Source organism: Homo sapiens, chromosome X (assembly GCF_000001405.40).
Source record: "Homo sapiens chromosome X, GRCh38.p14 Primary Assembly".
In the NCBI taxonomy this organism is placed as follows: domain Eukaryota; kingdom Metazoa; phylum Chordata; class Mammalia; order Primates; family Hominidae; genus Homo; species Homo sapiens.
In genome coordinates, this window is record NC_000023.11 from 139,955,215 (window position 1) to 139,971,435 (window position 16,221).

At 40.4% G+C, this 16,221-nt stretch overlaps 1 protein-coding gene across 1 annotated transcript; it reads right to left on the reverse strand.

The window, feature by feature from the left end:
- CXorf66 (chromosome X open reading frame 66) lies at nt 514–10,307 on the reverse strand. Its single transcript, NM_001013403.3, has 3 exons — nt 10,195–10,307; nt 2,850–3,003; nt 514–1,525 (listed from the first exon to the last, which is right to left on the reverse strand). The coding sequence occupies exons 1-3, from the start codon at nt 10,280–10,282 to the stop codon at nt 682–684; spliced, it is 1,086 nt and encodes a 361-aa protein (NP_001013421.1). The 5' UTR covers nt 10,283–10,307; the 3' UTR covers nt 514–681.

The window sequence follows — 16,221 nt, forward strand, 5'->3', positions numbered from 1 at the left end:
CATTAAAAAATAATTGGATTAGGACTTCAGTTGAGAGCTAATCCTAGGGAAGGAAGAGTCTAGGATACCCATCTTGCAATTTCTTTTTTTTTTTTTCTTTTGAGATGGAGTTTTGCTCTGTTACCCAGGCTGGAGGGCAGCTCTTCGATCTCGGCTCACTGCAACCTCCGCCTCCTGGATTCAAGCGATTCTCCTGCCTTAGCCTCCCGAGTAGCTGGGATTACAGACGCCCACTACCACGCCTGGCTAATTTTTGTAATTTTAGTAGAGACGAGATTTTACCACGTTGGCCAGGCTGGTCTCGAACTTCTGACCTCAGGTGATCTGCTCACCTCAGCCTCCCAAAGTGCTAGGATTACAGGTGTGAGCCACCGTACCCGGCCCCATCTTGCAATTTCTTTCTAGGTTTGTGTGAGTGTATGTTTATGGTTCTTATCCAAGTGACCAGGTCTAAGTAAGAGACATCAAAAGATCCTTGTGCCCCCTAAAATGAAATAATAATTACAATAGTAATTTATGTCATGCATTTTATTGATATTTTTAAAATAAATCGCCTCCAAGACAGATATGGGTGATCTTGATAGTGATTTTTCCCTCTACTGGTTTCTTAAGGGATGATGAGCATAAAATAGTTGGTATAAGTTTGCTCTTTCACACTTGGATTTTATTTTTGTTGAGCTCCTAATCATTTAGGGTTACTTCAGAGGTGACTTGATTGTACCCTCTGTCACACGTAATGATTATAACTTTATCACTGTCAACCTCACTATAATATTTCATCGTATCACTGTCATTCACATGATCACCGTATGCATTGTTCCTGGAATCTAACTTACGAAAGGACCTGGAAGAGGACTTGACTTTGCTTGAAACATGTAGGTTTTGAGTGTTTTTCTCCTTTGCCTCAGAAATATCATTGACCAAAGGCCTATAAGTTTTGGCAACAAGATGTTTTTTCTTGTAGGGTTGACAAGTTTCAGCTAATTCAGAGTTGGATAATAAGGCTGCCCTGCCTAGACTCACTGACCTTTTTGGATTAAAATGTTTGGGAGGCTTAGCCAATTCCTGTGGACCGAATGGCTTGGATGGTGAGATTTCATTTTGTGGATGAGATGAATAAAGTGGCTTGAATAGCTGAGGTGGCCTGACTGGCTTATCTGAACTGGCTAGCTTACACGCATAGTCTAGCTTACATAATTTTTCTAGGCTGCCTTTCTTATGTGCCTTTTCCAGGTGAGATGACTTGCTTAATTTTTTTGAGCATGATGACTTGGATGACCTTTTTGGATATGATGGCCTAGTTAACTTTCCTGCACTGTTTGGTATGGATGGCTTTTGTAGACTTGAGGGTCTGATTAATTTTTCTGTGCTGGATTGTGCGGATGCCCTTTCTGGACTCGATGAATCAGATGACTTGTCTGCAGTAGATAGCATGGGTTGTGTTTCTGGACTGCATTGAGAGGCTGTCTTGGCTTCACTGAATGATGTTTTAGATGACTTGGCTGCTATGCCTTTTTTCTTGACCCTGAAAGTATAGAAAATTTGGAGTATAATGATTTAAAACAAAAGAGACCTATTACTATTATCGGAGAACGTATGGTACTGCTTAGACCTGTGGTCTTTTGGGGCTTTAATATGAAAACTGAACACAGTAAGAATCGGAGTGTGACGGCTGTGTGTGGTGGTTCACACCTGTAATCCCACACTTTGGGAGGACGAGGTGGGCAGATCACTTGAGGCCAGGAGTTCGAGACCAGGCTGGCCAACATGGTGAAACTCCATCTCTACTAAAAATACAAAAATTAGCCTGGTGTGGTGGCGCACACCTGTAGTCCCCAGCTACTTGGGAGGCTGAGGCAGGAGAATCGTCTGAACCTGGGAGGCAGAGGTTGCAGTGAGCCGAGATCATGCCATTGCACTCCAGCCTGGGTGACAAAGTGAGACTCTGTCTCAAAAACAAACAAACAAAAACACAAAAACAGAATTGGAGTGGTGAAAGCCACAACTAAGGTTATAAATATGGACTCTTGTTTAATGCTTTTTCTTAAGAGCATTTTACTATTTAACCACATTAGATAACCATATAATCCACATATAGAATTACACAAAGTTATTTCAAATCTGCTGTAAAAAGAGAGAAACACACACACACACACACACAAAGAGAAAGAGAGAGAGAGAATGAACCTCACTTATTTCAGAATTAAACTTTTTATAAAAAAGTCACAGATTGATAATGTATCACAAGAAAAAAACTGTAGGAAAAGTCATTGTTTTTGTATCATATTTACAACATCAAGTTATCGGTGCATATTTAAATTCATAACATTCCTCTGAAACTAAAGGAATACAGTACTGGTACCACGTTTTAGTCACCAGTCTTTGGAATGGGATATTTTTAGGGAACTAGTATATAAAAGGCAGGCACTGAGATCATGAGAGCAACAACAGTGAATAATTTTTCATGTGATTAAGTCTTAAAATGGTAGATTATCCAAAATGTTTTATTGTCTTTGAAAAACAGAGACCCAATTCCCTCTCTCTTTCTCTTCATTTTCGCACTCTTATTTGGATATTCATGCCCTCTTTTCCTGCACTGAATTTATAATGCAATTAATGTCCTGGAGTTCAGCTGAACCTTGAACAAGAGACACTTTGGCTGAAGTTAATAATGTACTAGAGAATATTTAAGAGCTGATATAATTTAAGGGAAAATATTCACCTACAAAAGGTTGGTAGCTCTTCAGAAGTCTAAAGTTAATATTGAGTAACCTGAACAACAATGAAACCTCCGCTATATGTACACACACACACACCTCGCACTCTTAATTTAAAGGAGTAAAACTTACATTCCTGCTTTGGACGCATCATCGCTCAGACAATTATAATGGAGATAACAAAAACAGATAAAGACAAAAACCATGATGATAATACCAACTAAAATGAGTAGATTTCTTCTAAGGTAGTTCAATTTTGTCTGCATTGATTCAACAGGTTTATCTCCTGCAAAGAGATTGTATAATCAGAGAAGGTGTTAAGTAACCAAGTTTTTTTCCACATTGATAGTGGTTTGATAGTGTAGATCAAAATAACATTTCTTCATGAATTATTTTTTAAACCTGATTAATTGTACCACTGTTATGTTTTTACCTCATGGATCCAGCCAGTCCAGAAGCTAAATCTGGGAGGCATCGCTGACTAATCCATACCATTACCTGGGTTATCCCTGAATCTTGGCTTGCTTATCACATTACCCAGGTTTTTGAATCTGTGTGTGTGTGTCTTGCATGTATAAGTGTACTTGAGTGTTAACGTGTGTGTGAATGTGTGTGTGTAATTGAAAAAGGATGTGATAAAAACAAACCTCTGTTAAAAACCTACTATATGCTGGAGATCTGGCAAGATGGCCAAATAGGAACAGCTCTGGTCTGCAGCTCCCAGCGAGACCAATGCAGAAGGTGGGTGATATCTGCATTTCCAACTGAGGTACCCAGTTCATCTCACTGGAACTACTTAGGAGTACCCAGTTCATCTCATTGGGACTGCAATGGGTGCAGCCCAAGGAGGGCGAGCAGAAGCAGAGTGGGGCATTGCCTCACCTGGGAAGTGCAAGGAGCCAGGGGCCTCCTTCTCCCAGCCAAGGGAAGCAGTGAGGGACTGTACTATCCAGCCCAGATACTACGCTTTTCCCATGGTTTTGGCAATCCACAGACCAGGAGATTCTCTCGTGTGCCTACAACACCAGGGCCCTGGGTTTCAAGCACAAAACTGGGTGGCTATTTGGGCAGACACAGAGCTAGCTGTAGCAGTTTTTTTTCCCCCCAGTGGCACCTGGAAGCCCAGTGAGACAGAACCATTCACTCTCCTGGAAAGGGGGCTGAACCCAGGGAGCCACGTGGTCTCGCTCAGCAGATCCGACTCCCATGGAGCCCAGCAAGCTAAGATCTACTGGCTTGACATTCTCGATGCCAGCACAGCAGTCTGAAGTAGACCCAGGATGATGGAGCTTGGTGGGGGGAGGGGCGTCCACCATTACTGAGGCTTCAGGAGGCACTTTTCCCCCTGACAGTGCTAAGGAGGCCAGGAAGTTCGGACTGGGTGGAACTCACCACAGCGCTGCAAAGCAACTGTGGCCAGACTGCCTCTCTAGATTCCTCCTCACTGGGTAGGGCATCTCTGAAAGAAAGGCAACAGCCCCAGTCAGGGGCTTACAGATAAAACTCCCACCTCCCTGGGACAGAGCACCTGGGGGAACGGGTGGCTGTAGGCACAGTTTCTGCGGATTTAAACATTCCTGCCTGCCAGCTCTGAAGAGAGCAGTGGATTCTGACAAGGAGGATTCTTCCAGCACAGACCTGCTAAGAGACAGACTGCCTCCTCAAGTGGGTCCCTGACTCCCGTGCCTCCCGGATGGAGAGACCTCCCAGCAGGGGTCAACAGACATCTCATACAGGAGAGCTCTGGCTGGCATCAGGCTAGTGCCCCTCTGGGACAAAGCTTCCAGAGGAGGGAGCAGGCAGCAATCTTTGTTGTTCTGCAGCCTCCGCTGGTGATACCCAGGCAAATAGGGTCTGGAGTGGACCTCCAGCAAACTGCAGCAGACCTGCAGAAGAGGGGCCTGATTGTTAGAAGAAAAACTAAGAAACAGAAAGCAATAATATCAACATCAACAAAAAGGACCCCCACACAAAAACCCCATCCAAAGGTCATTAGCCTCAAAGATCAAAGGTAGATAAATCCACAAAGATGAGGAAAACCCAGCACAAAAATGCTGAAAATTCCAAAAACCAAAATGTCTTTTCTCCTCCAAATGATCACAACTCCTCTCCAGCAAGGGCACAAAACTAGACAAAGAATGAGTTTGATGAATTGACAGAAGTAGACTTCAGAAGATGGGTAATAACAAACTCCTCTGAGCTAAAGGAGCATGTTCTAACCAAATGCAAGGAAGCTAAGAACCTTGATAAAAGGTTACAGAAATGGCTAACTAGAATAACCAATTTAGAGAAGAACATAAATGACCTGATGGAGGTGAAAAACACAGCACGAGAACTTCGTGATGCATATACAAGTATCAATAGACAAATCAATCAAGCAGAAGAAAGGATATCAGAGATTGAAGATCAACTTACTGAAATAAGGTGTGAAAACAGGATTAGAGAAAAAAGAATGAAAAACAAAATGAACAAAGCCTCCAAGAAATATGGGACTATGTGAAAAGACCAAACCTACGATTGATTGGTGCACCTGAAAGTGACGGGGAGAATGGAACCAAGTTGGAAAACACACTTCAGGATATTATCCAGGAGAACTTCCCCAACCTAGCAAGACAGGCCAACTTTCAAATTCAGAAAATACAATGAACACCACTAAGATACTCCTGGAGAAGAGCAACCCCAAGACACATAATCATCAGATTCTCCAAGGTTGAAACGAAGGAAAAAATGTTAAGCACAGCCAGAGAGAAAGGTCAGATTACCTACAAAGGGAAGCTCATCAAACTAACAGAGGATCTCTCTGCAGAAACTCTACAAGCCAGAAGAGAGTGGGGGCCAATATTCAACATTCTTAAAGAAAAGAATTTTCAACTCAGAATTTTATATCCAGTCAAACTAAGTTTCATAAATGAAAGAGAAATAAAATCCTTTCCAGACAAGCAAATACTGAGGGATTTTTGTCACCACCAGGCCTGCCTTACAAGAGCTCCTGAAGGAAGCACTAAATATAGAAAGCAAAAACCAGTACCAGCCACTGCAGAAACACACCAAAATATAAAGATCAATGACACTATGAAGAAACTGCAACAACTAATGTGCAAAATAACCAACTAGCATCATGATGACAGGATCAACTTCACACATAATAATATTAACCTTCAATGTAAATGGTCTAAATGCTCCAATTAAAAGACATAGACTGGCAAATTGGATAAAGAGTCAAGACTCATCAGTATGCTGTATTCAGGAGACCCATCACACGTGAAAAGACACACATAGGCTCAAAATAAAGGAATGGAGGAATATTTACCAAGTGAATGGAAAGCCAAAAAAAGCAGGGGTTGCAATCCTAGCCTCTGAAAAAACGGACTTTAAACCAACAAAGATCAAAAAAGACAAACAAGGGCATTACATAATGGTAAAGGTATCAATGCAACAAGAAGAGCCAACTATCCTAAATAGATATGCACCCAATACAGGAGCACCCAGATTCATACAACAAACTCTTAGACACCTACAAAGAGACTTAGACTCCCACACAATAATAGTGGGAAACTTTAACATCCCACTGTCAATATTAGACAGATCAATGAGACAGAAAATTAACAAGGATATTCACAACTTGAACTCAGCTCTGGACCAAGTGGACCTAATAGAACTCTCCAACCCAAATCAACAGAATATACATTCTTCTCAGCACCACATAGCACTTATTCTAAAACCAACCACGTGATTGGAAGTAAAACACTCCTCAGCAAATGCAAAAGAACGGAAATCATAACGAATGGTCTTTCAGATCACAGTGCAATCAAATTAGAACTCAGGTTTAAGAAACTCACTCAAAACCACACAACTACATGGAAACTGAACAACCTGCTCCTGAATGACCGCTGGGTACATAACAAAATTAAGTCAGAAATAAAGAAGTTCTTTGAAACTAATGAGATCAAAGAATCAACGTACCAGCATCTCTGGGACACAGCTAATACAGTGTTAAGTGGGAAATTTATAGCACTAAATGCCCACATCAGAAAGCAGAAAAGATCTGAAATTGACACCCTAATATCACAATTAAAAGAACTAGAGAAGCAAGAGCAAACTCATTCAAAAGCTAGCAGAAGACAGGAAATAATTAAGATCAGAGCAGAACTGAAGGAGATAGACACATGAAAAACCCTTCAAAAAAATCAATGAATCCAGGAGCTGGTTTATTGAAAACATTAATAAAATATATAGACCACTAGCCAGACTAATAAAGAAGAAAAGAGAGAAGAATCAAATAGACACAATAAAAAATAATAAAGGGGGTATCACCAATGATCCTACAGAAATACAAACTACCATCAGAGAATAGTATAAACACCTCTATGCAAATAAACTAGAAAATCTAGAAGAAATGGATAAATTCCTGGACACACACATTCTCCCAAGACTAAACTAGGAAGAAGTCAAGTCTGTGAATAGACCAATAACAAGTTCTGAAATTGAGGCAGTAATTAATAGCCTACCAACCAAAAAAAGCCCAGGACCAGACAATTCACAGCCAAATTCTACCAGAGGTACAAATAGGAGCTGGTACCATTCCTTCTGAAACTATTTTAAATAATAGAAAAAGAGGGACTCCTCCCTAACTCGTTTTATGAGGCCGGCGTCATCCTGATATGAAAACCTGGCAGAGACACAACAAAAAAAGAAAATTTCAGGTCAATATCCCTGATGAACATTGATGCTAAAATTCTCAATAAAATACTGGCAAACCGAATCCAGCAGCACATCAAACAGCTTATCCACCACCATCAAGTCGGCTTCATCCCTGGGATGCAAGGCTGGTTCAACAAACGTAAATCAATAAATGTAATCCATCACATAAACAGAACCAATTACAAAAGCCACATGATTATCTCAATAGATGCAGCAAAGGCCTTTGATAAAATTCAACACCCCTTCATGCTAAAAACTCTCAATAAACTAGGTATTGATGGAACATATCTCAAAATAATAAGAGCTATTTATGACAAACCCATAGCCAATATCATACTGAATGGGCAAAAGCTGGAAGCATCCCCTTTGAAAACCTGCACAAGACAAGGATGCCCTCTCACCACTCCTATTCAACATAGTATTGGAACTTCTGGCCAGGGCAATCGGGCCAGAAATAAAAGCGTATTCAAATAGAAAGAAAGTCAAATTGTCTCTGTTTGCAGATGACATGATTGTATATTTAGAAAATCCCATCATCTTAGCCCAAAATCTCCTTAAGCTGATAAACAAATTCAGCAAAGTCTCAGGATACAAAATCAATGTCCAAAAATCACAAGGATTCCTATACATCAATAATAGATAAGCAGAGAGCCAAATCATAAGTGAACTCCCATTCACAATTACTACAAAGAGAATAAAATACCTAGGAATACAACTTACAAGAGATGTGAAGGAACTCTTCAAGGAGAACTACAAACCACTGCTCAAGGAAATAAGAGAGGTCACAAACAAATGGAAAAACATTCCATGCTCATGGATAGGAAGAATCAATATCGTGAAAATGGCCATACTGCCTGAAGTAATTTATAGATTCAATGCTATTCCCATCAAGCTACCACTGACTTTCTTCACAGAATTAGAAAAAACTACTTTAAATCTCATATGGAACCAAAAAAGAGTCTGTATAGCAAAGACAATCCTAAGCAAAAAGAACAAAGCTGGAGGCATCACTCTACCTTACTTCAAACTATACTACAAGGCTACAGTAACCAAAACAGTATGGTGCTGGTACCAAAACAGATACATAGACCAAAGGAACAAAACAGAGGCCTCAGAAATGACACCACACATTTAAAGCCATCTGATCTTTGACAAACCTGACAAAAACAAGTAATGGGGAAAGGATTCCCTATTTAATAAACGGTGCTGACAAAACTGGCTAGCCATGTGCAGAAAACAGAAACTGGATCCCTTTTTTACACCTTATTCAAAAATTAACTCAAGATGGATTAAAGACTTCAATGTAAAACCTAAAACCATAAAAACCCTAGAAGAAAACCTAGGCAATACCATTCAGGACATAGGCATGGGCAAAGGCTTCATGACTAAAACACCAAAAGCAATGGCAACAAAAGCCAAAATTGACAAATGGAATCTAATTAAACTAAAGAGCTTCTGCACAGCAAAAGAAACTATCATCAGAGTAAACACGCAACCTACAGAATGGGAGAAAATTTTTACAATCTATCCATCTGAGAAAGGGCTAATATCCAGAATCTATAAGGAACTTAAACAAATTTACAAGAAAAAACAAACACCCCCATCAAAAAGTTGGCGAAGGATACGAACAGACACTTCTCAAAAGAAGACATTTATGTGGTCAACAAACATATGAAAAAAAGCTCATCATCACTGGTCATTAGAGAAATGCAAATCAAAACCACAATGAGATACCATCTCATGCCAGTTAAAATGGTGATCATTAAAAAGTCTGGAAACAACAGATGCTGATGAGGGGAGGAGAAATAGGAACGCTTTTACACTGTTGGTTGGAGTGTAAATTAGTTCAACCACTGTGGAAGACAGTGTGGCAATCCCTCAAGGATCTAGAACCAGAAATACCATTTGACCCAGCAATCCCATTACTGGATATATACCCAAAGGATTATAAATCATTCTACTGTAAAGACGCATACACACGTATGTTTATTGCAGCACTATTTACAATAGCAAAGACCTGGAACCAACCCAAATGCCCATCAATGATAGACTGGTTTAAGAAAATGTGGCACATATACACCATGGAATACTATGCAGCCATAAAAAAGAATGAGTTCATGTCCTGTGCAGGGACATGGGTAAAGCTGGAAACCATCATTCTCAGCAAACTAACAGAGGAACAGAAAACCAAACACTTCATTTTCTCACTCATAAGTGGGAGTTGAACAATGAGAACACATGGACACAGGGAGAGGAACATCACACACTGGGGCCTGTTGTGGGGGTTGGGGGCAAGGGGAGGGAGAGGATTAGGACAAATACCTAATGCATGTGGGGCTTAAAACCTAGATAATGGGTTGACAGGTGCAGCAAACCACCATGGCACATGTATACCTATGTAACAAACCTGCACGTTCTGCACATGTATCCCAGAACTTGAAGTAAAAAAAACAAAAAACAAAAATAAACCCCTACTGTATGTTAAGTCCCTTGCCAGATTCATTTATATAGTATTAGCTAGTTTGGTGGGGACAGGTTGGTATATTGAGTGGGGAAGGGTGGTAAAGGAGGACCATAAGTCTGTCATCTTGATGCTTATATTTTGCTTAAGTTTTTTAATATCAGCTGTTGTATTAGAAATTCTTGAAGACCTACTAATGTTAACACTGCTAAAAGTAACAGCAGATTTCTTAAATACAGCTGGCGTTTCTAATTAAATACTTTAATGTATACTGTAACAGATCATAATTTACAAGTTTTAAGGTTAGGCACCTACCTGTAGTAGAAGATCCATTGGTTTGGTTTGTAGTCATGCAATTATTTTTCCAAATGGACAAAAGTAGGACACAAATAACAAGATTCATGTCCGCAACTTGGTTCAAATGATTTGTCTACTAAGGTAACTACTGAATTTATACAGTTCAGAGTGTTCTAGGCATTTATGACATCATTACCATTGTGTGTCATACTCTGACAACATAATCTCACCATAGGGAAGCATAAGCTTCTGTATACAAATTTTACCAAATGACTTTTTTTTTTTTTTTTTTTTTTGAGACGGAGTTTGGCTCAGGCTGGAGTGCAATGGCATCATCTTGGCTCTCTGCAACCTCCACCTCCCGGGTTCAAGGCACGGTGGCTCACAGCTGTAATCCCAGCACTTTCGGAGGCGGAGGTGGGCGGATCACTTGAGGTCAGGAGTTCAAGACCAGCCTGGCCAACACGGTAAAACCCTGTCTCTATTAAAATGCAAAAATAGCTGGGCATGGTGGTGGGCACCTGTAATCCCAGCCACTTGGGAGGCTGAGGCAGGAGAATCACTTAAACCTGGGAGGTGGAGGTTGCAGTGAGCCGAGATTGCGCCACTGCACTCCAGCCTGGGCGACAGAGCAAGACTCTGTCTCAAAAAAAATAAAATAAAGAGTAAAAAAGAAATGAAAGAACATGTCCTATAAAGGTGACAGTGTTTGAAATTATGCATTTGGGGCCATTGGAATATAATAAAATTAAACATTAATTGGAAAACCCCCAGCCTGGCCAATATTGTGAAACCCCCTCTCTACCATAAAAAAAAAAATACAAAAATTAGCCGGGCGTAGTGGCAGGCACCTGTAATCCCAGCTACTCAGGAGGCTAACACAAGACAATCACTTGAACCCAGGAGGCAGAGGTTGCAGTGAGCCTAGATGGCGCCACTGCACTGCAGCCTGGGTGACAGAGCAAGACTCCATCTTAAAAAAAATAAAAAACCAAAAAAAAAAAAATACAACTCAGTTTTACCCTGAAGGTCTAAATAATCCTGCTCATACTTTTTAACTGTATAAAAATCAGAAAATGTTATTCTATTGCTTTTGAATAAGCTGCTTTTGAAAATTTGAATAGGGCTTATAAAGTGAAAGAATGTATCTGTCACCTTTTTTAAAAAAAGAAATCAGGTTTTTTTTTTTCCCTAGTGTTGGATACATGGTAGACAAATATCTTAAAGCCAGTATTTCAGAAACAGCTTCCAAATTAATTTGAACATTAACTTCATATTCATAATGGTTACAAAAACACTTTACTTTCTTTGGCTTTAACATAGATTTATATGATTTTTATTTCATTTGCAAGTTTACATGACTAGCATGTTAGTAATAATAGATTTCACTCAGAAATTCTAGGTATTATTTTGATAAAAATTGTATATAATAAGTACACTATAAAACCCCATTTCTTGCTTCATATTTGTTGTTGTTATTGTTTTGATTGTTGCCAGGACTAGAGTAAAACCCAGTGAGATATTTGCCTGTAGCACAAAATTTAAGGGGTGTTGCAAAATTCAGTAATCAAATAAGATTTTAACGTGATATTTAAAAACCAAAATTAATGCCAAAAATCTATGACCAACAAAATATTGAACATTTAAATAAAGACAGGATCTGATTCTGCATTTGCATGAGCCTGTCCCACTCCCCTCACCCTAATCCCAGCTCTGTATCTTGAGCCTGCAGGGCCATATTTATTCTTTTCCACTTTAAAAAGCAGAGGGGAAGGGTCCAAGGACTTAGCCAGGTACTTAACAGGGCTGTGTCCCCAAGACCCCTAAAAATCTCACTAGGTCATTTTCCCCAGAGAGCTGCTCCTGGGCCCTTGTGTAATGATTCTTGGTGAAGAATGGCTGCTCCTGGTTTCTCTCTCCTTGGTTCTCCAGAGATTAACCTGTACCACTTTTCTGATTTCCGCCATTATATTTGATTGTCTTGCTTCCAATGTCTGGCTGGCGTCATATCTATAGGAATCAGTAGTAGGAAAAGCTCCTAAGCTCTTCCCAGCACCCACATGGCAAGTTTGAACCTTTGCCCTCATCCGGGTGAGAGGAACCTTTCTGGGGTTGCCACCTTGGGGATTTCTACTGCCCTCCTCTGGACCTCAATTGACAGTGCAATTCCGCCTTGGGCCTTCAACTTTTTCCCCTTATTTGATTTTTTTTAATTAAAAAAATATATGCACCTTATAAAAATTTTAAATCACACAGAGGTATTTCAGACTTCCTTTATCCCTTGAGATCTTCTGACCCCTTTAAAATTGCTTTAAATATTCCTTACTCACAGCTTGTGAAGATGCCTGAAATCTTCATCTCTATTTTTAATTGCACTTTAAAATTGCATTAGGAATATATTAATATTAACCCATTCTCATTATGAAAAATACACAAGACAGACATATACAGAATAAAACGTTATAGACTCTTTTCCTTCCCCACTCCACTCTATCCCCATTCTGGAGACAATGACACAAAAATTTGATGTGCATCTCTCAGATCTCTTTCTACATATTTACATACATATCTATGTACATGATGCACACCCATACTACATATAAATGGGAACATTCTATAAATATTCCTTTTCAGGATTTAAAAAAATCACACAACTATTCATATGCTGATATTCATAGCAGTATTATTCGCAATAGCCAAAAGGTGGAAACAACCTAAATGTCCATCAACAGATAAATGGGTAAACAAAATGCGGTATATGCATACAACGGAACAATATTTAGCCTTAAAAAGGAAGGGAATTCCAATATATAATACAACATGAATGAACCCTGAAAACATTATGCTAAGAAATAAGCCACATATTATATGATTCCACTTATATGGGGTACTTAGAGTGGTCAAATTCATAGAGACAGAAAGTAGAATGGTGGTTACCAGGGGCTGGGTAGAGTGGGGAACGGGGAATTATTGTTTAATGGGGACAGAGGTACAGTTTGGGATGGTGGAAAACTTCTGGATATGGATGTGATGATGACTGTACAGCAATGTGAATCTGCTTGATGTCACTGAAGTGTACACTCAGAAATGGTTAAAATAGTAAATTTTATGTTATATTAATTTTCTGCAATAAAAATATTTAAAAAAAATACACAACTAATGCTTAAACCATTTCCTTGTAAAAAAAAAAAAAAAAAAAAGTCACATGTGGCTGGGCACGGTGGCTCACGCCTGTAATCCCAGCACTTTGGGAGGCCAAGGAGAGTGGATCACCTGAGGTCAGGAGTTTGAGACCAGCCTGGCCAGCATGGTGAAACCCCGTCTCTACTAAAAATACAAAGATTAGCCAGGTGTGGTGGCAGGCACCTGTAGTCCCAGCTACTCGGGAGGCTGAGGCAGGAGAATCGCTTGAACCCAGGAGGCGGAGGTTGCAGTGAGCCGAGATCGCGCTATTGCACTCCAGCCTGGGCAACAAAAGCAAAACTCCATCTCAAAAAAAATAAAATAGAATAAAATAAAATAAAATAAGTGGTCAAGAAATGTTATTATTATTGGGTATAGTACCCACTTTTAGAGAGTTGATAAAGTAGGCCAGCAGATAATACCTATGTTGTTAATATCAGGAGTCAGGGACTGAAGGGAATTTGAGAATGGGGGCCAGAAAGAGAAGCAGAAGAGTCCCCAAATGGAAAGTGAGTGGTTGCCAATCAACTCTAGTGTTTAACTTTATGAAACAAAAAGTAGAAGAGATATAAGAACAAATAGATAGAAGCAAAGTTATACTACACAACTTTCAGCTCAAGATAAATCAAGTGGACACAAAATTATTAAGGAGGTAGAATATGTAAATAACATAAAATATAATCAATAGGGTTGATCATATATACATATATATGGAACTTTACAGTCCTTCCTTCTCTTTTTCACAGACATAATGAATTGTTTTATCTTCTTGGGGGCAGGAAATCTATCATTTTGGAAAACCACTTCTTTCCACCTCAACCAAATGGTCTTGATAAGAACTAACAATTATAGTATCCCTCTCTCCTGGCCACAAGGGTGAGCATGTGGCTCAGGCTAGACCAGTAATCGGTTCCCATCTCTAACCATAGTGATTGGTTTATAGTTGGGCATGTGACTCAGGACAGGCTAATCAGAAGTTTTCCCCAAAGATTTTTCAAACAATCTGGGCTGAGAAATTCCCTTACCACCAGCGCAGTAAACCTGGAAAAGATGTCCAAAGGTACCTGTGACACAGCCCCTGATGGCAGGAGTAAGCTAATTAGAAAGGATGAAAGTGGCTGGGTGTGGTGGCTCATGCCTGTAATCCCAGCACTTTGGGAGGCTGAGGCGGGCATATCTCTTGAGTTCAGGAGTCCGAGACTAGCCTGGCCAAAATGGTGAAACCCCGTCTCTACTAAAAATACAAAAATTAGCTGGGCATGGTAGCACACACCTATAATCCCAGCTACTTGGGAGGCTGAGGTTGGAGAATTGTTTGAACCCAGGAGGCAGAGGTTGCAGTGAGCCGAGATCACGCCACTGCACTCCAGCCTAGGCCACAGAGTGAGACTCTGTCTCAAAATAAATAAACAAAGAATAAAAGTGACATAAAGAGAAACATAAAGATGAAAGATGGAGAGTCTTCCAAGGAGAGTTACAATTCCTGTTTTCCTACAGCCATCTGCATTGCTGCCCTTCTAGTGGTTTGATTATATGTATTAATATAGTCCTTTTTTTGATTCACTGGTTGGAACTGGCTTTGTGTCATTTTCAACCAGAAGGGCTCTAACGAATACAAATTGATGTGATGTGTGTATATAAACAACAGGATAATAGCACGGAGGTCCCTGAGCCATTAATTCAGATTGATGGGTCAAAGCCAGACCCAGCATACTTGTTCTCGGGACAGCAGCCCCCAGCCACACCTCTGTAGCACAGGGGATGCTGCTGAGGTAGAATGAATCTGACACCTACGTTCACTGGAATTTTAAATGTTCCCCTGCCAGCAGTTACCAATACATCTCCTCTTTGCAGGCATGGACATTTCTGGTGAGAAGACTGTTAACAGCTTCCCCTCTTATATCTCTGTGCATAGCCAGTAAGACTTCCCTGCCAGTGCAAAGGCATGTGTATTCTTACTTGCATACGTTCACAACATGTGTACACATGCGTGCCCTCCAGGGTCTTCACACATGCACATATATGCATGAGCTCTCAGGTAGAACATGTAGGAAGCATCTGTAGTACTAGAAATTATGTTTCGTTTATTTTTAAATCTCATATGCCATATGTCTGTTAATGTGCTCTAGTTATTACCACATAAAGAATGAATAGCTGGTTTGATCTCAATTGTCGTCCAGCCTCAATTTGTTCAGTGACTGACATTAATGAAATCGTAATAGGTTGCTTTCTAGAAGGTTTTAACCATCCTCTAAGGGAGATTTTGACATTCTAGTATCCATTTCACACTTCTTTGCCTATTCTGCCATCGTGTGGGCAAGGAACACAAACATCAAGGTGTTAATGACCCAAGGTTGCATTTGAAAAGGGCTCTAATGATTACAGATTTTTTTTTTTCTCCAGGGGTAGAGGAAAAGTGGGAAGGACATGAGGAGGAAACACAAGTCCCCTCGCACCACCGCGTAAAAAGGCTGACTCTCCCTTCCTTCCTTCCTTCCTTCCTTCCTTCCTTCCTTCCTTCCTTCCTTCCTTCCTTCCTTCTTTCCTTAATTCCTCCCTCCCTCCCTCCCTCCCTCTCTTTCTTTTTTTCTTTCGACAGAGTCTGGCTTTGTTGCCCAAGCGGGAGTTCAGTGGCGCGATCTCAGCTCACTGCAACCTTCGCCTCCCTGGTTCAAGCGATTCTCTTGCTTCGGCCTCCCGAGTACCTGGGATTACAGGCGCCGGCCATGATGCCCGGCTAATTTTTGTATTTTTAGTAGAGACGGGGTTTCACCATGTTGGCCAGGCTCAAACTCCTGACCTCAGGTGATCCACCCGCCTCGGCCTCCCAAAGTGCTGGGATTACAGGCATGAGCTACCGCA

Excerpts from the sequence above, each read along its gene's own strand:
- CXorf66 (NM_001013403.3), bottom strand. The coding sequence starts at position 10,282 with ATGAATCTTGTTATTTGTGTCCTACTTTTGTCCATTTGGAAAAATAAT. Across the intron at positions 3,004-10,194 it reads CAATGGATCTTCTACTACAG|GAGATAAACCTGTTGAATCA; the intron begins GTAGGTGCCTAA and ends ATCTCTTTGCAG. Across the intron at positions 1,526-2,849 it reads GATGCGTCCAAAGCAGGAAT|GGTCAAGAAAAAAGGCATAG; the intron begins GTAAGTTTTACT and ends CTATACTTTCAG.